Source organism: Homo sapiens, chromosome 18, assembly GCF_000001405.40.
Source record: "Homo sapiens chromosome 18, GRCh38.p14 Primary Assembly".
Taxonomy (NCBI): domain Eukaryota; kingdom Metazoa; phylum Chordata; class Mammalia; order Primates; family Hominidae; genus Homo; species Homo sapiens.
In genome coordinates, this window is record NC_000018.10 from 40090566 (window position 1) to 40114467 (window position 23902).

Here is a 23902-nt window from a genome sequence, read left to right on the forward strand (position 1 = left end):
ATCTGGAAAATGGAAGAGGGGATATGAAACCTTGGTAATTGGCTCTGAAAAATCAAGCTTCCAGAATTCTTAGAATACAAGATTTAAAAACATTCTTATGTTTCTATTCCAGTCCTAATTTGATTTCTGTTACTTTAGCTGGGAATAGCCTAATTGACATAAATATCTACCATAGAATATACATATATGTAATATATGTATATTTATTCTATGGTAGTATTTTACACACACATGCGCACACATACATTGTTTTCATTGATGCTTTGAGTAAACTTAACTGGTAGTTAGAAAAAAACATGGAGTCAAAGGCAGAATGAAGATAAGATACTCTTGAACTGAAATATAAATGGGAAAGATTTAGGGCAATGGGAGAGAGGCAAATTTTTGATTGAGTAATTCCTTAGAGGAAATCTGTCATAATGAGACTGAGCACAGAGATAGAGCAATTGATACTGAAGAAATGGAATAATATTTTATCTTCTGCAATGAAAAGAAAGAAGGCTAAACATTACCACCGAGCTATATTCACAGTTGTGGAGGCAAGAAGTTGATGCATTTTTTTTCAATAATCAACTGAATTTTTCTGTTAAAATGTAAAGTAAAATTTTTGCTGGAAGGGATTGAGGTCAGCTTTGGAGGTTCATGAACTGCTACTGGTGATTTTTCAGAAACATTATAGTACTAGTGATTTTTTTTCAAGAAAATTCAGAAAGAAATGAGAGAGATTGATCACAAAAATTGGAAGAATGGAGCCAAAGTTGTTGTTAGGGACCATTGCTTGTTGGGGGCCCTAAAGGTTACAGTTGTGGGATTTCTTAAAAGCCATACAGTAGCCTGAGTGGAGGAGCTGAGAAGATGAATTCTATGTCTGAATTAGCTTGGAGGTTTCGTTTTACCTTGATGGGAAGGTACAAACAGACAGCAAGACTTATCAGTCCAGCTTGTTTAAATCTTATGGATCCTGGGCTGCGATTGATAAGCTGAGACTAGATCTTTAGAAGTCACTAAATTCATTTACCTATTTATAAAGAAAATTAAGAACTCTCTCATACATGAAACTTTGTAGTCTTTTCTCTCAATAAATATCTCTCAGATTGCAAACAGATCAGCATTTTTAAGGAAGGGAAATATTATGCAAAATGTTATTACACAAAACAAATGAAAGTGAAGCTACTTTAAATAAAGAAGAAGAGTCACAATACCCTCACTCCACCTGATGGCCATTTACATTTCTTCTCTTTCCCTCTGTATCGGCCCTCAGCCACTTCCATTGTACACTAGTGCTCTAATAATCACAGTTTTAAATGAAACTAAGCTAAAGAATAAACTTAAATTTAGTTATTAGGTTACCAGCACAATTTAAGATAATTTGTAATAAGATCAGCCTTATCACTAGAATTGGTGATTGCTTATGTGTTATCAGTCAGGAACCACTATCATCACTCCACATGCTATTCCATCATTCAACGTTATTTCTAACCTAGGAATGGCAGTCCCCATGGATCTTCACTGGTTGCTAAGGTTTAGCAGATGAGACAATCCGTATTTCAATTTGTCTGAATATTGTCCAGAGTGAACTCAGTATGAACAATCTATGTGCATCACCCTAGCTTCATCTGCCGTCAATCTCCTAAGGAGCTTGACCTAGACTTCAAATAAATACATTGCATCTATGTGCACCTATAGTATTATTCTCATCTGGCATATTCTACATCAGAAAATACACATACCAATGCCCCCTTCTTTAATCTAGTCTTCAATAAAAGACTGAAATTCCGAGGCTGCTTCATGAAAAACCTGAAGAAGGAGAGAAGGGGTTCTTGCCTGATATCCTGGAAATAGAGCATATAACACGAAACGTTATTCTTTTTCCCTAAGGACAAAAGGAAGGAATATCTTTTGCAAGTTCTGCCAATCAACAGTCAACTAGATAAAGGAAGCAGTGATGGTGCAACACTAGAGGTGGGCAGCTAACGAAAGCCAAGCCTTCTCTGCTGATTGCAGAGACTTCAGTGGTATGGACTTAAATGCTACCAGTCTCAGGGACACCTGTATCCAGAGAGAGGCTGTGGTTGTGGAGAACAGAGTTTCATGAAGTGTGGTGATCAGGCTTAACTTGACAATAGTTTTTTTTCTAGTCAATAAAATCCACCAGTATTCCCAGACGGAAGGAATTTGGAGTGGGGCCACTCCTTCATGGTTCTGACAGGGGGTGACAGCTACCTTTCTCTAGTGATAATTTGAAAAAAAATCTGTCAGTGGTTTTCCTTTCTGTCCCAAATTCCATAAACAGCGATTGAAACTATTTGTGTTACAGTTATGTGTGTTGCCTAATGACAGGAACAAGTTCTGAGAAATGCCGCAGGTGATTTTTGTCATTGTGCCAACCTTAGAGAGTATACCTAAGCAAATCTCAATGGCATACCCTATTGCACACCTAGGCTGTACGGTATAGCCTAGGCTACAAAACCTGCTCAGCATATTACTGTGCTGAATAATGTAGGGAATTGTAACACAGTGGTAAGTATTTGTGTATCTAAAACATGGAAAAGTTACAGTAACAATATGGTATTATAATCATATGGGACCACCAGCATATATGTTGCTATGCGGTGGCACATGACTACATTGTTCCCTGGCTTTTAGTTCTTTTGTAGCTTTGTATTGGGGTCAATTTCCCCATCTGCTTCATCTCAGTCTCTGGAATTGATCCAGTTTTTGGGTTGAGGGAATACAGAAAGCCTAAAGTCAGTAGCTTAAGATCTTGGATGTTCACAACCAAGTACATCACAGTAATAATCCATTCTGCCTGTAAAAATGAAATTCTCATAAGACTATGCCCTAGTTTCACTATGAAAATCTCTTGTTTACTTTCTTAGAGAAGAATCCTGTTTGTGAACCACAAACTTCCTAACTGGGACAGGTTATTTGAAACTGACTTTTCCTACGTGTAATTGCTAGTCTGCTTAGGAATTCTCCTATTGTCTATTGCCTGTATTCATTCATTTTTAATTCAAGAAGATCTATTAGGCTTATACTATTTGCCAGAGACTCTGTTAGGGCTGGGACAAGATATGAGCAAAACAGAAATGGGACAGTTTCTGCTCCACCTTCTCATAGAGCCTCTTCCTTCTCTCCTGACCCTTTTTGGCTCTCCACACCACTGTCACTTGTAAGCCAGACTGTTTTTGGAAGGTCAGCTGGGATGCCTCTGAAGACAAACTTCCCTGGAGTCTCTGACCCAATTTCACACAACACTGCCCTCAACCTATTGGATTATAAAAAGAACGTAGTCTCACCTATGCTCTTGCTGGTCTTGCTGCATCCTCACTGATTTTTTCAGCCCACAGCGTCATTTCCTCTACTGCTTCTTGCCTATACATAGTTTGTTTTTGTTTTCAATCCCGACAAAGCTACTGTCAAACCACTGCCTTATTCAAAACAAATCATTTGTGAGGAAGCTGATGCTAAAGCGGTGTTCTATCATTTTCCTTACAGATTCTGGCATTTAACAGAGAGGGTAAAAATAAAAACTTTGTTACTAGGCAGTAAAACTCTCCACAACTGAATATTCACGTTGTTCATGGATCAGCAAACACCCTAGTTTGTCTGTAATTGAAAAAAACATTTGGCACATTTCTATTAAAAAACCTTCTCCTTCATGAATGTTTAAACAAATTAACTCGAACAAGAAGCAGTGATATGCATATCAAAAACAATTCTTAAACCTGAAGTCAACTAAAGCATGGGGAAATCAGTGTGCTGGCAGGTACTCTTTCTGCATTTCACACTAACGATTTCCATTTCACCATTTTCCTCCTTTCAAGCATTTTTGCTTTTATCTTGGATGCTTTTTAGAGCTCTGGTCATTGCAAAAACATTCTTGGTTTCCTAAAACGAGGGGTGACTTTGCATAACCATAGTAAGTTTGAACTGGGCCATTCTGTTGGACTAATGAGCCTAGGGTTCTCTCACTGGTAATAAATGATGTTCCATAAATGCCTGTTAAGGGATTAAACTGAAGCGTACATCCAGTGGGATGAGTTCACTTTCATAACTACAGTGTTACTCATTCTGGTCTGTGGACAGAAAGATTCTAGTGTCATTTCTGCCTCCAACTAGGTCTGTGGCTTTGTGTAAGTTGCCTTGCTTCTCACAGCCTTAGTTTCCTCATCTGTAAGTGGGTAGAATGGCCTCTAAATCCAGTGATCCTAAGAAGTAGCTGAGTCTTTTTTTTTTCATCTCCACTAGCTAAACTGGCATATGTGGACACAGTCTAAAAGACTTTGCGGTCATATACATCAATGTAAGACATGAGTACAAGGTATAGAATTTCCTCAGAAACTGAACAAACAGAGAAAATCTATGTATTCTCAGGTCCAGGGCAAACACATCCTCTGGGACCACAGTTAGCATCTTTCCATTCATATTTTCTTTACAAAACAGGAAAGATTGCGACAAACTTTCATTCCTACAATCCCCTGAGAATTGGATGCTGGAGCAAGCACTTTCCACACTGTAGCCTGGGTCTCATTAGTGTGGGACCTCCATACTCAGAGGGGTCTTCTTTCCAGGAAAGGTATTCTGAGGTCACCAGGCTTTAATGTGGCTCCTTAAACCCAGCTGAAATAAAGGAAAAGAAAAGAAATTAAGGAGCAGAGGAGGAAAGGAAAGAAACAAAGTAAGAAGAACTAACAGAGAGAGAGAGAGAGACTGAGACAGGGACACACACACAGAGAAAGAGAAATAAAAAAGATCAAAAACAAAAGGCTTTTGACTTTTGAGCCTTTGGAAAAGTGTATGAGCTAACAGTTTATACAATCACACAATAAAACAATGATCCCCACCCCAACAAATAAACAATTTTTGATACTCTCTAACTTTATTTCTCTATTTCATCCTTTTGTCCTGATTTACTATTAGTCATGACTTTAATTTTGTTATAAACGAAAATTACTCTTCCCTAATACTTTTTGAGTACCTTCTTACTTAAAGGGGAGTGATTTGTGACTTATTTTGATCTACAAAATAGTCCTTAGGGATGACTGAGTCTGACTTACAATGGACAGAGGAGGAAAGCAACACAGTAGGTGTCTGTGAGAGACAGAACTCATATCTCCTCTCTTCCCTACATACACCACTTCCCCACCCCTCAACAATGGCCCATGGTCTCATTTTGTCATACTTGCTGTTTTTCCATAAATTGTAGAGAAAAATCAAGTCATAGGGTATGTTCAGAGGGGAAGAATGTGTTCAAAGTGAACATAGGAACTAATCAGTCCTACATTAGCTTTGAGCCAGAGGAGAAGAGTGAGAGTCATATTGAAAAGTTATAGCAGAGGCAAAAGAATGGAGAAAGTATGGGACATAGATATTTGAAATACATAGGAAATGATCTATAGTTTTTTTTTTTTTTAAAGTATCACAAACTCAATGCCTTTAAGGTCAGCTGACCATAGCATCTTTTGTATTAATGCAGAAATTTTTGGATGAAGGTTTTTTGTCTCTGTAAAATTTCACTTCTACTTTGAGCTTTCCTTCTCTCTCTCTTTTGTCCCTTCCTTCCTCCCTCCCTCACTTCTTCCCTCCCCCAACCATTCCCTATATTACACAACTTCAGAAAGAACAATTAACCTAACGAATCTGATATCATTAAAATATGATGAAGTAGGGCAAATTCTCCCTATTAACTTAAAAATTTATAGAAATTGATTATTTTTTTCTCTTTATTTTTGTTTGATTACTTGCCTCTCAGATATATGTATAAATTATATCTCCAGAATCCACCACCAAGTGGAAATATGCACTTCAGGTAAATAGAAGAAAAAAATGGACATAAAAAATAGTCTTTCTGCCCATCAAACCTTTTATTTCCGAGCAGAAATAATTACAGCAATGGTCAGTGGGGAGATTTGAGCAATTTACAGAGGTATAACAGTGGTTCCTATCAACACAGTTTTATATTCAGGGCAAGGCATAGAACTCAAGGTCCTGAAGCTTTGCCTATAATCTTTATTTCATTTTTTAGATGTTATGCTGTAATAAAATGTAAAAAGGGAATACATAAAAAGTTATAGAGGTGGGAAAAAACATGGTTTGAAGTTGTATGGCATTTCTTGACAGGGCATGTTCCTAAGGATATGCAGAGAATAACAAATGCCATTTGAAATAAGTACACTAGAGATCTAAAACTGGATTGAAAGCCCAAGTCAATTTTCCTGAGTGTCATTTGATTAGCTTTCTCATATAGAATGGTGGTTTAAACAATGCTGGGATTCTGAGTGCAGAAGTGCTTGGGAACACAGTAAGAAATGGGTTCCTCCCACCAATTTCATTCCTGTGGCTTTACAACATTATCTTTTCACATTCTTCCTGTGTTTTTGCAATAATCCATAAATGAAGCAACGTCAAAGAAAATGTGATTGATTGTAGTGAAACACACATGCACACTCACGTGCAGTAGGCTATTTTTCTATTCCCTTTCCAATTTGTCCCACGGTTGCTCCAGGCAAACACCTGTATCCTATTGCCAGTTTTTGGTAGGAAAATAGAAACAAACTTCTCAGGCTTGAGGGGAAACTGCACAGGTAACAAACAATTCAATTGTGTCTAGTGGCTATTTTCATATAGAGAGAAATTTCTCCCACTTTTGCCATGATGTTTATTCTGGTTTCTTGAGACAGATTAGAAAGCAGGCCTCAATGCATCTAAAAATTATATTTGGAAGAGATTGGGAATCATTTCGCATCCTTTTCCATTCCCTTTGTTTTATCCATACAGAGCAGAACAGAAAATTTGTGTACTATAATGATCACGCCAACTTGTAATTTAGGTGTAAATTGTTGATTTCATCACTAATTGACTAGGTTCTACCATCTATAGTGTATGTTCTTTCATTTATCAGCATTTGATTTATTTGTTTCAGACTCTAGAAATCCGATTCTGAAGTCTAACATAATCCTTTTAGATTGCCGTTGGTTTCCTAACCTCACAGAAGGCACAGGTTGATGGTGTGTCCAACTCAACACTTAAGTTCTGACAGTCTAGGGGTATGAAACATAGACCAACTTCAACGGTTCAATGAACAAAATCCTATCTACTTGTTAGTCTTCTATAAGACATTTCAGCTGCTAAGCTGACAGTAGTGGTCGAGATATTAAGTTGGACAAGATACTTTCTGAAGTGTCTAGTTTCAGACCAATGAATACTTGGATTTGTTTTCTAGGCTACAGGAACTTCAGTTTTGTTCTACTGCTACTGCCTCTAAGAAGCATCTTATAAAGGCCGACAATGTCATGCATGTATTTAGAACCTTGGTGTGTATCTTAGACTATGCCAGATTGTAGACACTCTCTTGCCCTCCCTTCTCTTTGTTGCATTAGGTATGATAGATGATCTTGAACTCTGACTATGAATAATAACTCTTGACCAGAATACAGCACCTCACTAACACAGAATAGACATTTCAAAGGGATTCAGAATGACTGCTTTAAACCAATATATGGAGGAAAAGCCAATGATATTAGTATGAATGGGTTTATTTGAAAACGACTTAGTTATGAACTTTGAAGGCCTTTGGAGAAAGGGTGGAATTCTGAGGCTAAAGTGACAAATTGAAGTAAGTAAATAATAGAGTATTTTGATTATCCTGGAGGTTTTTCTCCAGAAAAAGTAATTTATTTGATGAATTTGGTTACTTCTACTAAATAGATTCCAAAACAATTTTTCAATTTTCTATTTTATTTTAATTACATATAAAACCAAAATATAATGAGAAGGCATTTATCCAGCTATCCAATAATGTTGCCATAAATATTCTTTATGATTATCACAGCCTGTTTTATTCATGTGGACCATGCCGTGATTCCCAATCAAACCCTAAAGATAACAAAATCTGGTGTCCATATTCCTTGCTTAGGGATGCTTAAGTGTATTGATATTTCTTTTAAATATAACATCTGCATTCCTTGTTTTCTTTCTTGTGATACCTGAAATGCATTTTATTGATAGAATTCCTAGATTAAGCTCTTTATTATCATCATCAGATTATACTTCAGGACTCCCTGGAGGGAAAATAATATGCATACACACACATACACCCAGTGCTCCAAGATCCACGGAGAGAATTTCAGACAAGGAGAATTTTTCAAAGATAATCACCCTCGTGTTGCTGTTCCTAAGCTACTCTTCAGCCAACACCTCTCAGTCTGTTGTCCACTATAGATTGCAAGACCCTGGGGAAGTGAACGTTGCTGAGTTCATGAGATTTCTGGAGTTTAATTAAGCTGTAGACAAACTCCTCATAGATTACCTCTAGCCCATAGACAATCCCTTTTGCTTCTTTTGTTTTTGTTTATAACAAAATAATGCCACTTTACTCCCACCCTAGAAAGTAAGGACAAGCATTATTAATGATTTCTTTGCTAATCTTTCTGTCTTTTGGCAGAATGAAGAATAGTTCTTCTGGTGTGAGGATCCACTGGGTTGCCACTGACCCATTGCCTGAGGGTATGCGATGAAACCAGAATCAGCAACTGTAGATGGCAGCTCAGAAGGGGAAACGACACATCTAATAACCAACAGGAATGGCTATTAATTAGCTGAAATGACAATAATTAACAGAAATGACAAGTCTAATAAATTTTCACTTAAGTGTTGTCACATGGCACTTTGAGTTTTAGCTTTCCATTTTAAATATTAATCTCGGTGGGGTTTACTTTAGATGAAGAGTCATATCAAGTATGACTATGGAAATAATTCTGTACAGACACTCCATCAAATTATGTTTAATCCATTTCACTTATGCTATGATCAGTAGAGAGTGTATTAAAAGCTCACATTGTCACCCTAAAAATATATTCTTTTTGTGTGTATCTAATTTATGCTGCTCAGAAACATTCAGCCACAGGGATCAGAGGGAAGGTGGTTGTTTTTAATTTTCTTTGATATCTTCAAAGATAGGAAAGTCTCACCCCTCTGCTCTTTCCCCCTCTTCAGCAACAGACAAAGAAGGTTAAATCTTATTAGCATGTCCTATATAGCTAGTTGTAACCTAAGTGACCTGTCATGGCACTAAATGCCTACTAGAACTTTCTCTGTACTTGCAAGATGGAAATTTTATGCATCAATGCTTTTATGTATGCATCTGATTTGGGAAGTTCACTGCTTTATGGATATGAACATTGTGATCAAGTAAATTGATCTACATAATGGGATTTTGTGTGTGTGCGTGCATATATCTATATGGATATGGATGTATGCAAGTGTATTCTAAGAGGAAATATAATACATGAAATGTTAACTTTAATGATATGAAATGCATTAAATTCAAACTATCTTGCATGTGTATGCAGATGCATTATGTCTCTATCATTGTACTCTGCAGGGATTTAAGGTAGAAAAAATTCATCGTATTCTCTGATGTGCCATGCTAAATAAGAGTGCAACATGGTACTATTATAAGCAATAAATAATAATCTCAGAGACCAAGACTTATGAAGCTTTTAAGAACATCCCTTAGCAAAACAGTGATAAAAATGAAATTGTATTCAGGGACATACAGCTCTTTCTTTCAGATACCCTGACTAAGCTCCTTTGTCTCTAAACTATCATCTACTGATAACCAAGATTTCTAAATTACTGAATTCTAACAGCCAAAAAGTACATTATGTTCTCAGCTCTCTTTCCTCCAAAATTCATTAACCACTGGGTCTCATTACTTCAGGACCTAATAGTAGATTCATCAGATAAGCTATTGGAGCCAAAGCACTTTTTTTTTCTTTTGAGACAGAATCTTGCTCTGTCATCCAGGTTGGAGTGCAGAAGCACTATTTTGGCTTACTGCAACCTCCACCTCCCCGGTTCCAGCGATTCTCTTTCCTCAGCCTCCCAAGTAACTGGAACTACAGGCCCCTGCCACCAGACCCAGCTAATTTTTGTATTTTGCATTTTTAGTAGAGATGGGGTTTTGCCATGTTGTCTAGGCTGGTCTTAAACTCCTGACCTCAGGTGATCTGCCTGCCTCGGCCTCCCAAAGTGCTAGGATTACAGGCATGAGCCACCACACCTTGCCAGCATTAATTTTTTAAAACATACCTTCTTCAGACAATGCAATATGTTAATGCAGGTCCTAATTAGTTATCTGTAATTAAAATTAAGCTTGTTTGGTAACCCTAAACCTTGACATTAATTTCAGGACAAAGACACTCTAAGTAGGCTATACATTGCTGGTGTACTGGCTTGGCTAATGCACCCCCCGCCCTAAAAAATTCATGTCCACCTGGAACCTCAGAATGTGGTTCACCCTAAATTCAATGCCTTTCATCCTCTTAAGAAGATGACATAAAGATATGAAGAAAAGAAGCCTATATATAGATGCAGGTGGAGATTGGAGTGAGGCATCTACAAGCCAGGAAACACTAAAAATTATGGAGACAACAGAAGCTAAGAAGAAACAAGGAAGGATTCTTCTCTAGAACCTAAAGAGGGATTATGACCTTGCTGACACCTCAGTTTTGGACTGCTGACCTCCAGAAATGTGAAAGAATGAATTTCTGTTTTCTGAAGCCCGTCAGTTTGCACAATTTGTTCTGGTGGCCTTAAGGAACTAATACAGTGGATATGTTTCATTATTTCTGATAAATTACAAATATATACTCTTGCTTATCAGATATCTGGCCCAGAAAACTTGGAAAGCACAGAGTTTTAGTTTAAGTCTAATTTATGATTAGCATAGTAAACACATATTTTGAGGTGTGTGCGTGTGTATATATATATGTATATATAATCAATCTATTGTAAGTACAAGTAATTGCTTTCTGCTTAGAGATGTCTAGATGTTGATCATGCCTACTAGTCAACAGAGGCTAGGTTATTCTACAGCAACAAGTATCTCCATATTTTGGAACAACACAACTTATTGATCTACCTCCATTCAGCGAGAATAAAATGCTCTTTCTCTGTTTTGTCCACATTCTGGTACCCTGTCTAACAGATCAGCTACTGTCTGCGATATTGCCACTGCCATTGTAGAAGTAAAGGAGAGAAGACTGCAGAATCTAAAATGAGCAATCAAACATCTCACTTCCACTGACAGGCTTTCGAACAGAACTAGACACTTTACTCCACCTGACAAAATATCAAGAAGAACAATCCCACCATGAGCCCAGGAGGAGAGAGAACACTAAGAACATGAGGAAAAGCACAGAAGGTCCCAGCATCATGCTGTGTCCTCACAGATTCTGAGAAAAATCCCTTATACTTCTTCATATTTCTATCCTGTAGAAGAATGTGGTACTCCATAAGTTGTATTTGTTGATGAATGGATGGATCATATTTGCCAAGCTAACTAACTAATTTAAAATATCTGGATAAGATGGTTTTCTCTTGCACAGTTGTCTTCTGATTCCAGCTGCCTTCAAAATGAGTTCTATTTGGAAATATAGTGCCATTATAGGAAATATCAATATGAATTCAGAATATCATAAAACTAAAAATTGAGTTCTTTTTTTTGAGATAGGGTCTTGCTCTGTCACTCAGGGTGTGCAGTCAGGGGTGTGATCATGGCTCACTGTAGCCTTGACTGCCTTGGTTCAAGTGATGCATCCTCTCACCTCAGCCTCCTGTGTAGCCAGGATCACAGGCATGTGCCACCATGCCAAGCTAATTTTGTTTTTTAGTTTTTGTAAGGATGGGGTCTCCCTATCCTTGGTGGTCTTGAACTCCTGGGCTCAAAGGATCCTCCTTCTTCAGCTTCCCAAAATGCCGGGATTCCAGGCGTGAACAACCATGCCCGGCCCAAACTGAATTCTTATAGCCAAGAAAAAGCAAACAGGTATCTTGGTTGGCATCTTTAATTATGACTGTCTATGAACAGTGCTTTATTGAAGATGCTATTTAGTGGTTTTTTTATTGTTTTGTTTTATTCTGTTTTGACTCTAGGACACAACATGGAGAAGTGTCTTTAAGTGAATGCTTCCAAGTAAATGCAAGGACAGCCTTTAACCATTCAGAAGTTCCTAATAAGAAAACTGCAGCATCACCAGAACGGAGCACTTCAGAGAGTGGGTTACTTGGCTGATAGAAATTTCACCATTCTCCACAGGAACTCCACACCTCCACTTGCTGAATTGTGTGCCAAAACCTTCACTAGCTAGTGTTTTTCCAGTGAGACATATCAGTTCTTTTTCTATCTCTACAGCCCATTCTATCACATGAACTAACTGATTACGAGGTGAGTTGAAATCAGACAGGCACCTTTCCCTAAGAACTAATTCATGTCAAATTCTGGGTTTTAATTGGCCAATAATTTCCTAGTTAAGGTGATAGCTATTAAATAAAAGTGACACTTTTAAGTTTAAGGTGTTATCTATTTTAGAAAAAGAAAACACCTATTCTCAAATGGAGATGTTAAGACTTAAAAGGAATAGAAGTATAATATGAAAATGATAAACAGAGAGGTAGGCAGATTTATGTGCACTTTCCTCCTGCATCATACCACATGACTGTCATCTTTCCCATATCTGGGTAACATCTGGCCTTTCATTTTTCTTGCATAATATGTTTTGAGCACCTCACAGACTGATCACATAGTAAGATAAAGTTTAAAATGCTTTTTATCTTAATATTTTCTGTTTGGCAATAAATGGTCAGACTAGTTGACAGCTGAAAATATTTTTGACTATACAAATTGGATATTGACAGTTTCTTATTCTGTGGTCCTAACTGAAGAAAGAAAATAAGTATCTCCCTCTCTCCTTTTCTTCTTTCTTTTCTTCCTTATTTTCCTTCTTCTTTTTTCATTTCTTTCCTTCCTTCCTCCCTGCTTCCCACCCGTCTCCCTCCCTCTCTCCCCCTTCCTCCCTCCCTCTCTCTCTTTCTCTCTTTTTCTTTCTCTTTCTTTCTTTCTTTCTTTCTTTCTTTCTTTCTTTCTTTCTTTCTTTCTTCCTTCCTTTCTTTCTTCCTTTCTTTCTTTTTCTCTCTCTCTTTCTTTCTTTCTTTCTTCCTTTCTTCCTTTCTTTCTTTTTCTTTCTTTCTCTCTCTCTTTCTTTCTTTCTTTCTTTCTTTCTTTCTTTCTTTCTTTCTTTCTTTCTTTCTTTCTCTTTCTTTCTTTCTCTTTCTTTCTTTCTTCCTTTCTTCCTTTCTTCCTTCCTCCCTGCCTTCCTGCCTTACTTCTTTTTCTTTCTTTCATCCTTTTCCATTCTTCCTCTCTCTCCCTCTCCTCTTTTCTTTCTTCTTCCTCTCCTTATTTTATGTGGGATTAAGACCTGGAATCTTTACAATCGTATTAAGATCAAAGAAGCAAAACACTAGGTTTAGTAGGGCAAACCAAATGTACAACTTTTTAGGCCTATATGTGTGTATCTATTAGGAAAAGTTCACTTCATTAATACCAGTATGTATTAAAAATTGACAATCAATTTGAGAAAAGAACAATAATTTTTAAAAGGGAAAGTAAGAAGTGTTGCTGTTGTTTTGTCATCTCCAACTAACATAAGCATTTATGGCAGTATCAGGGGAAAGTAGAATGTTAGAGAATGGTGAAGCAGGGTTGAGAGGTCAGGTCTCTGGGAACCACTCTTTTCTATGTCATTTACTGCTAAAATGACCTTTGTCAAGTCATTACATGTCCCTGGGGCTCAGTTTCTGCCTTTTTCAATGGCTAGATGTAATGAGACTACTACTAAAATAACTTAACTGAATATCACTTACAGGGTATTTTATCCTCTTCATTCATTCCCATATAGGAAGCAGAGATAACAGAGAAAATATATTGCACTAAAAAAGTTCAGTTTTTAATTCTGAGTTTACCAGTTTAGATGCTTAGATATATGCAGCCCCTATACTGGTAATTCCTGACCCTTTTGCGATATTACTGTTGTTTCCATTAGATCTTATGATCAATTGGTAAAGGCACATATTTCTAGAAATATAAATTTGAATTTCCATCAGCTTCATATCATTTAAGCATAGTAGTCAATTAAAAAAAAGAAGAAGAGGAAGCAAAATAAGGAGGAGAAGGGGAAGGGGCAAGAGAATGGAAAAAGAAAATAGCAACAGCAAAAGCAGCAGCAATGTGATGTCTCATCAGCATCCAAAAGCCTCATGTCAAAGCTCAACGATAATTACATTTTTTTAATCTATAGGAGAAAATCCCACAAACTCTTAAGAGTCCCATTTAACTTTGCACAAATTCTAGGAAATTTTAGTTATCTGCTTTTTTAGTTCAGAGGAAATTAAAATCAGGCAATAATAAGAAAGTTTCCAGGAATTTTGAATGAGACATGACTAACTGCAATTCAAGGAAAAAATGAAGGGCAAGGAGGCTGACATTTTTAAAATGCAGCCAGGGAGGTCTGTCAATTGTAATAAAGTGCAATTTTGTTGTGCCAATTTATATATTAATATAAATGAATTCTCCACTATATCCAAAGCATGTGCAGGTCATTATGAGAAGATACAAATAGTAATAAGACACGATTCATTTATGCAAAGAAATTTATTTTGAAGCTATTCCTGGACACAACAAAAGTGCAATACTGCATTTGGGGATATGCTAAGAGTGGACATACATTTGGGACTGCTGATGCAATCAGACTTGAGGTTCCTATTGCAAAAACAACTGTTATTCTTGGGCCATTTTTGTCATCAGGGCCAGTCAGTGGGTCTTACCTGGAACTAGTAAGCAAGAAATTTACCAATATGTAGGGGATAGGATATGAAGATGTTAGGGTTCTGTTGGTCTTAGTGGCAAGGAGTACTCAAACATGACATATAGGCTCAATACTAGCAAGGCAGGGGCAGAAAGCAATTGTATTCTCAGTAGGAGTATTGTGCAAGACTTTTCAGAGATTAGTGCTCACTATTCTGGACAAATAAATGATGGAGGGTTAAAGATCCTAGTTTGATGTAGTTCCTTAAGTGAAAGGGCTTCCAGGGGCTTATCTCTGTGCATCAGTGAGCAGAGTTGTTCTTTGTAGAGTTCCTGCCTCTATACAGGAAGAATCCATGTATGACTGGCATGTGAAAAAGAGGAATAGGAATTGTAAGTTAACTATGCAAATATCGAGTGGCCCAGTTAACCAAGTAAGGTTTTTAGGAGAAAAATCTTTCTTTCAGTGTCATTTATTCCATCATATTGAATACAGTTGGAATGATAGTCTGAATCTTAAATTGATGAGTATGAGAAGAGAATCAAAATAGCATTGAGAAACGGACTTTGTCAAAAACTGGGGCACCTATGGAGAGGCTTACATTGATTGAGGTACCTACTTACTTGGCTCTGTGAGGGGTACAAAAACCTTATGGCATAAAAGAATGTCTAGTATTAAAAAAAAGTAAGGAAAAATGAACAGTTTATTCTTACTTCTATAGCCTTCCCGTGATGCAAAGATTAAGAGAAGTTCCAAGTAAAAGTTTCTGAATGAATGATTGATAATAGGAAAGAACATGCCATTGGCTAAATGGGAACCCATTAGAAAGTGTGGATTGAATATTTAGTAAGGAGCCTCTAGTGGGCAGAAGATAAGATTTGAATTCATTAAAAACAAACAAGAAAAAAAAATAAAGACTCTCTCATTAAAACAGTTATGAGTCTTCTGCCTCTAGATATTATATTGTTACTAAATCTAGTAAATGTCAATATCTACTAAAGTAATATCTCAATAATATCTACTAAAGTAGACAGAGTAGCTCAGACCCTTTAGAGCCCATGGGCAGTGAGTGTCTCAAGGTGCCAAGGGCTAACAATAATAAATAAAGGAGAGTTCTGAGAGACAGACGTCTAATTTGGGATGAGGAGAAAATCAGTGGCTGTCATGGTTGTGAGTCACTACAATTCTAGGAGGAACTGTTTCAATACAAAGGAGATTTTAAAATGTGTTTTCTTGCTTTTTCTTGTATGCATACATATACACATTAGCATGCACATCCATGGCATAAAATTCCAAATGCTTCTCTCCTTGTTTAGAATGTTCATTATTGAGCAAGTCTGCAACCAGTCTTGGAGTTATGATGTATCCTGGACCTAATAAGGCCAATACAATCTATCATTTAGCTAATCAGGCAAACCCGTATCATTTTTGCAGTAACTTAGAATCCTAAAGGGATCACCAAATAAATAAGGGGCAAACAGGTAATAGAAGATTGTTTAATTAAAATCCATTTAACTGATCCCCCTACTGTTGGGTTTTCTTAGATTTCTTCACAATCTCTTCCTTTATATCTGAGACATGAGCAGCGGTTTATTTCTGTTCAGCCAGTTTTCACAAAGAAGATGAAGCAAAGTGTTGTTTTGGTTTGCTTTCGTTTGTTTGCTTTTTTCGAATTTGTTGTTTTCTTCATAAGAGTCAGTGTGTATACAAACTTAAATAGAGCAAAACCAGGCTGTCCAGAGGTGTAGAAGCTGACTGGCAGGCTGACCTCCTTCACCAACGGAATCACTCACTCCAAGCACAAGTGATTCAATTTTGTGCCTCAGCAAAACTGCAGATTACTACATGCTATAGACCAGTGGGTTGCAACTCTGGCTGCAAATTAGAATTCCATTGGAAGCTAATTTTTAAAATTTTTAATATCAATGTCTGGGCCCCCACATGTGGTATGAAACCAGATTCTTGTAAGTCGTGTCCCCAGAGTGTGTGTGTGTGTGTGTGTGTGTGTGTGTGTAGGCGCAAAGACAAAGAATGTGTCTTTGTGTGTGTGTGTGTGTGTGTGAGTGCATGTATATATGTGAGATGGGTGCTTGGCATCCTGAGTGATTCTGTGCGTGAAAGAATCAGGTTTGAGAATCCTAGAGCCATAGATACATACGTCTTCAGAGGCACTTCCCAAATATAAATCTGAGGCTGTCAAATTTACGGATAATAGGTGTACTGTAACTTAACTAGTGAGAAGTGAAGAATGTGAGCATAGTCCTCTCTAGGAAAATAAAGTTGCACAATAAATTTTTTTTATAAATAAATGGTCCCTTTATTTCTGTAGCGAAACCAACTAGAAATTTAAAACAAGACTGAATTTTTTTCTTAAAATGCTCATCTGTGTCTATCCCAATACATGAAAGAATGAATAATCACCAGAGATTATGCCACAAATAATTTTATCCTGGAAATTTTTCAAAATTAGAATTACAAATTAGTCACATTAGCCTGAAAAGCCTTTTAGTAATATATCCAAAACCATATACATTTTAAATAGTTTTCTATAGAACACATATGTTATAACATATTTATCTTATATTTACACTTACGCACACAACATATGAGATTCAAGAGGTTTCTGATATAATTTTGTTTTCTTACTCAATAAACTGCAGAGAGTGAATCTTGACCCACACGGCAATAGAAGAGAACCTGCCCTGTGTAAATCTGGATATCTAGCCTTCCAGGGTCTTCTGATTCTCCCTGTGTTTCTGTTCCATGAAGGTTTTTCTTGGGCAGCTAGCACCTTGCTTCAAGATCATCACCTGCTCCCCTGAGTTATTCTCAGACTCAGCTTCCAGGACTGTGTTATGTACCTCAAGATTACTCCTTAATTTGTTTTTTTAGGTACAGCTACTCTCTCCAACCCCAGAGTCCTTGTGTGAGTGTGCTTTGTTACGTCTGATATTCTCTGCTGTACTAGAACCATGGAAAGAATTATATTCGTTGGAGAGAATAATCCTGATTCTGCCCCAGCTAAGCATTGATTCCCCTCAAGACACACACCATATCACTTACTTTGCAAATACAATTTTATATTTCTCTGAAACATTTTATATTTCTCCGTGGAGACAAAAAATGTTCCAGTTTCACATGGAATTCACATCAACCCATTTCAAGATCATCAAGTCATCAACCAATTATTCTAATATTTAGAAGAATCATTTCCACATCACTGGGGAATTAAAGGAATAACAGGTCAATAAAGAGTAAATAGTTTGCAAATTACTCCTCTAGTTACTTTGCCTTAAATACAAATAATCTTGTATCCGTACATTATTTAGTAGGAAAGTCACCTCTACTTCTCTCATCTCTATCACCATCTCTCCAAAAGAGCAAATTTGAGACAGGGTGCAGGCTGCCAGATGGCCACCTCCATTACTGTCTCTTCAGGCCAGAGGTACAATATTTCTGTGTAACCAGTTCACGTGTTTGTATAAACACTTCAAAACACCCAATCAATCACTTCTTTCTAGCCAGAACTTTTCTTAGGGAAGCATATGTCTCTGACCTGGTAGAGACTAAATGTAACGTTCTTTCTTTCATGAGCTCAGGGTTTAATGGGCCAGACACAACAATGGCACAGGCGAGCAATTTCAAGGCATTCTCATTATAACCAGGATCTGTGTTATAGAGAGTCGGAGGACACATGTACCGCCTTTAAAGATATGTTGTCTTATATAAAGCACTACAAACAATCAGGCACAGCAGGCTGACAGCTCTCTCTAAAGGTCAATAAAGGTTATGTGAGCCTCCTAACTGTAAAACTCTGTGTGAGCAGAAATTTATGAGTTTCTCTCTTCCAGGAGTAAACTTCGGTCATAGCATGTTCCACTAAAATCTGTCAATAAGCTAGACCATCCTCTGTGTTCCGGGAGAAGAAGATCAAAGACTTTCTGGGCATTAATACCCTTTTAACTAAATTGTGATCTAAGTAATATTTCATAAGAGGTATTACTTTTTGAATACTTTCATTTCTCAGTTGCTCTCTGTTTATATGCCACTGTCTACCTCTCTCCTTATTTCTTGCAGAATCTTTTATAATCAGTTTCCTTGTTTTATACTGAACACCACAAATGAGAGCTAGGACTACTGAAGTGTGCTTTAAGACCAAGAGGTTCTATCAGGAAATGCAATCTGTCCTCCATAGACACAGTATCTGTGGTAATGAAACAAAACCTCGTTTACTGAATCAACACTAACTGATGCATAGCCTGCATGGGGGAAGCACATACACATTCTGACAAAGGCTAGGAAGCATAAAACCACCGATCCTGCAGTTGCAAGGTCATAAAATCCTGCTTCCTATTTGAAAAGCATTTAATAGTGGACATTTTGAAATGTCTTGACTTAGAAAAAGCCTGGGTACAAGGGACTGAATAATTACATCCTGCAAAATATGGGGAATCATCATGTTAGAGAGAGCAGATGGTCTCCCCATCATTCCAATACCCCAACTTCAAACAAGCTCAGTGTGTTTTGACAATTTGACAGTTGATAGAGAAAAGGGCATTTCACTTGCAATTCTAAACAGAAACAGAAACCTTAAGATGAACACAGGGCTCTTTTATGAACCTAAATGTAAATTCTCATCAGCTGACTTCCACTGGGGTTGAGGGGATAGGACCAGTCACCTAGAGTGTGCCATATCTGTTGGTAACAAATAGAGCTTCATGAAATATTCTAAATGAATCACAGAGTTCAGGCTAATTAGAGGTAGTGTATCACTTTCATAAAGAGAGTAGATGGGGGATAATATTTAGAATGCCTATGAATTTTTTGGTGTATGGGAAAAAGTGTCGTAACATATCATTAGGATTATGACCTGGAATATGCATCAAATCCAAAAGATGATTCTGTATTTAAGGTTGTTAAAGCATAGTGAGAGCCTATATGATATCATCATCATTATATATGGGGGTTTAGATTTAAAAAAGAAACGTTTCTCCCTTTAACAATCTACTTTTTAGAGGTATTGCTAACTATTCAAACTATTATTCATATAATTTAGGTTAAATGTTTTTCTTGATGCAGGGAAAAACATAGAAATTGACTGGGCTGTAATGAACAGGACATTGGACTAAGAAACATGATTCTGGATTTCGCCTTCTGGATCTGCCACTTAGATTTAAACATTATCTGCCTCCATTTCCTAATATATAAAAGGAAGAATAATAGCTGTCATACCCAGCCAGGGGCAGTGACTCATGCCTGTAATCCCATCACTTTGGGAGGCTGAGGCAGGAGAATCACTTGAGCCCAGGAGTTGAGATTGGCCTGGGTAACACAGTGAGACTTTGTCTCTGTGAAAAATTAGCTGGGTGTGTTGGCGCCTGCCTGTAGCCCTAGCTACTTGGGAGGATGAGTTAGGAGGATGATTTGTGCTCAGGAGTTTGAGGTTGCAGTGAGCTATGATTGTGCCGTTGCACATCAGCCGAGTGACTGAAAGAGAAACTATTGTCTCTGGGTGACACAGACAGAAACTCTGTCTTCATAAAACAAATTAAATAAATAATTTAAAAATAAAGTTTTAAAAATATCTGTCTTATCTATATATATATATATTGGAATAATAAAAATAAAATGAGAAAATAGGTTGTAGCAAAAGCACAATAGTACTGTTCAGTATGAAATTTACTTAAACATAATTCCTAGGCTCCTTTTTAAATTCTATATCTGCTTCCCAGGCAAAATCATTCACATCCATGACTTCAGCCACCACAAATACACTTAGAACTCTGCAGATTCCTTCCAACAGATACCACTCACTGGACATAAATACTCCACTCCCTGATCTAGAGCTGTGTCTCAATTTCAGGGTGCTCAGCACTGCACCTACCCAGCTCTTTAAATCTGCCAGGGTTCTGCAACTCCCACTCATGGCAAGAGCAAGATGAGGCTGAGGAGAAATGTTATCATTGTATACACTAAGTAGAGTTTTACTTTATTTTATTTTGGTTCACTTTATTATTCTCTAGAGACAAAGATTTGACATCACCTTTCAAGATAATGTCATTCCTGGGGTTGGAGTGGATTAAGGACACTTTGCTTATATTGAGGAAAAGCAAGCATCCTATTCACAAATGAGGAATAGAGCAAAATTTATTCTGTGTTTATTGTAAAATAATGCCTTCATTCTAGGGAGACTTGCATTGCTGCATATTTGTGTGTTTTTTTTGTCTTAAAAGAATTGCTTATTCTCTGGGCCCAGGTGTACTCAAAACCCTACGTGTTTTGACGAAAGTAGCTGAATTCAAAATTACAGCAACAGACTGACAGAAAGTGGTATGCAATTTGGGCTGGGGACCACACACACAATTCATTCCAACGTTTTCACAAAGGAATTTCACTCTACTGGGGTATAAGATGAGATGATATTATTTATTCTAATCATGGCCCTAACCTATGTTGGAGACTATGTTGCTATGTTGAAGCCCTCCTCCTTTTTCCTATCTTTAGTAACATTCTGGGAAGATTGTATAACATTTTAGCTATTTTAGGTATTAAAATTGGTGAGTCCACATGAAAAGCTCCATCTCCCATCTGATTCTAAATTCTCTTCTCTGCTATTGCTGATGTAAGAATTCACTGCCCCTTTCACTCCTTTGCAGTTGTCTTTCTCTTAAGCTTTGTCTCAAGAACTAGGACAGGGCAAAGGGATAAAAATTACCCCAAGTTAGGTAAAGAGGCAAATGTCCCTTTACCTTAATGGGCATAATTTTAATCGCTTTACTTACTTTTTGCAACTTGGAAGCATTTACTTAGTGGGCAGCTCTGCTGTGCAAGCTTCAGGCAAGATGTCTTAAGCCTAGCTTCCACAGTGTCCACTTGACCTAGAGGTAGCTTATTTTGCCCAGCCAACTGGTGTGAGTAATGTTTGCCCCTTCCTTTATTCACCTGTCTCTTTGATCCAGTTTGCTTTTCTACCACTGGCATAATCAGATTATCAATTTGACCACCTATGCAGATATACAACCTGGAAATGAGATCCAGTCTCTTCTCATCAGCACCTCACATATTCACTGGAGATTTTCTTGGACCTCCATGTAGACAATGGAACAAGGCATTTGTTACAAAACGAGTGGCTCTTCCCCCATCACAATGCTTACTTCTATAGCCTAGGTGAGATAAAGATAGTGAGGTAGATGCGCATTGTACTATGGTCACTTGTGCTAAATTTTAATGAACTCTGGAGAGACTGTCTGCAATTTTCCATGGCTTTCTTTAGATTGTGGGGTTCTTAGTACATTTTTGTTTTTAGATGTTGCATTAGCTGTTCTCTCACTGCTATAAAGAACTACTTGAGATTGGATAATTTACAAAGAAAAGAGGTTTACTTGACTCACAGTGCATGACTGGGAGGCCTCAGGAAACCTGAGGCAGAATCATGGCAGAAGGCAAATGGGAAGTAAGACATGTCTTACATGGAGGCAGGAAAGAGAGTGAGGGGCAAAGTGCCACACACTTAAACCATCAGCTCTTGTGAGAACTCACTCACTATCATGCGAACAACATGGGGGAAGCCACCCCCATGATCCAATCTCCTCCCACCGGGCCCCTTCCTTGACACGTGGGGATTACAATGAGATTTGGGTGGGGACATGGAGCCAAACCATATCAGATGTATAAAGTACTTGCCTCTCACATTAATTATTTGGATTCTACATTCTAACACCTCTTGCTTCCTGGCTAGTCAATCCAATTTCCACAAAGCTGGGAAAAGCCCATACATTAGAGGTGGGTGGAGCCCCCAATTTTTCAGGAATTGGGGGCTCCACCCACCTCTCTGGGGAATGTTAGTTTAGTCATTCTTATATTCCTTTTTTATGTCTAATCAGAGGGGGTGGGGGTTAAAACATATTTATCCTATGTTGTATGCATTCTTGCTCAAGTTCTTCCTCCTCACTTGTACTGTTCCCAGGCATCTTCACCCACCATTATCATTATTTTACCTTAGCCATAGCCTCCAGCTGCAGCCAAGGCGAGACATTCATAGGCGGGTAGCAATTATTGACCAATGCCTGTCTTACCCCTACCCATCTGTAAGTTTTCAAGTTAAAGGATATTTGTTACAGGACATTTCTTAAGGTACTTCTCTGTCTTTGTGATTAAGTTAGTTTGCCCCCCTTACCCTTTCATAACTCTCATTATACTCGAAATTACTTGCTCACTGACTACATTCTCTGTTAAATTATGTAGTTCTTGAGGACAGGGGTCAATCTCATGGATGTATCTTGTTCACTCATATATCCTTAGTATCTCATGCATTTTCCTAACAGCTACTTATTTATTAAGTGAATTGATAAATGTACAGAGAATGGAAATACTGTCATTAATTTTTATTAGATTTAGCAAACGATTGTTCAACTCTTCATTTGAATCTGCCCTTGAGGCTATCAAGAACCTTATTGACTCTATCCTTCTCCACCTCTATTGATTTTTCTGCATATTCTTGGTTTCTATATATGTCAGAGTTGTTTCAGATTGCCACTGTATCTTCAATTCTATCTTTATTGAAGAGGCTGGTGAAAAACTTCTATCTTAAATATCAACAAAAAGTGATTTTTACATGGTTTTAAACTGGAATCTTTGAAGTCAAAAATTTGAAAATAAAATCTTTGAGCTCCTAATGTCTTATTCATCTTAACTTTAACATTTCCTACAGTGCACTCTTAAATGGTCTACTCAAGACAATTTAAATGGCCAAGCCTAATGTCAGTTATGACTTCTAAGAAAATTCCTGGGTCTTAAGATTTCTTCATACGTATGCTTGTTCAGCTTTTACTTTTTACTTACAATGAAGCAGTTTATTTTTCTTTTTATTATTATTATTATTATACTTTAAGTTTTAGGATACATGTGCACAAAGTGCAGGTTTGTTACATATGTATACATGTGCCATGTTAATGTGCTGCACCCATTAACTCATCATTTAGCATTAGGTATATCTCCTAATGCTATCCCTCCCCCTTCTCCCCAGCCCACAACCGGCCCCAGTGTGTGATGTTCCCCTTCCTATGTCCATGTGTTCTCATTGTTCAGTTCCCACCTATGAGTGAGAACATGCGTGTTTGGTTTTTTGTCCTTGCGATAGTTTGCTGAGAATGATGGTTTCCAGCTTCATCCATGTCCCTACAAAGGACATGAACTCATCATTTTTTATGGCTGCATAGTATTCCATGGTGTATATGTGCCACATTTTCTTA

General features: G+C 37.5%; 1 long non-coding RNA gene across 1 annotated transcript in view; it reads left to right on the forward strand.

Moving 5' to 3' along the window:
- Positions 1–8668, forward strand: part of LINC01477 (long intergenic non-protein coding RNA 1477) — a 32948-nt gene extending 24280 nt beyond the window's left edge. Inside the window, exon 4 of the long non-coding RNA NR_110791.1 lies at positions 8447–8668. This is a non-coding gene — a long non-coding RNA (long intergenic non-protein coding RNA 1477). The remainder of the gene's footprint in view (positions 1–8446) is intronic.
- Positions 8669–23902: the final 15234 nt, after the last annotated feature.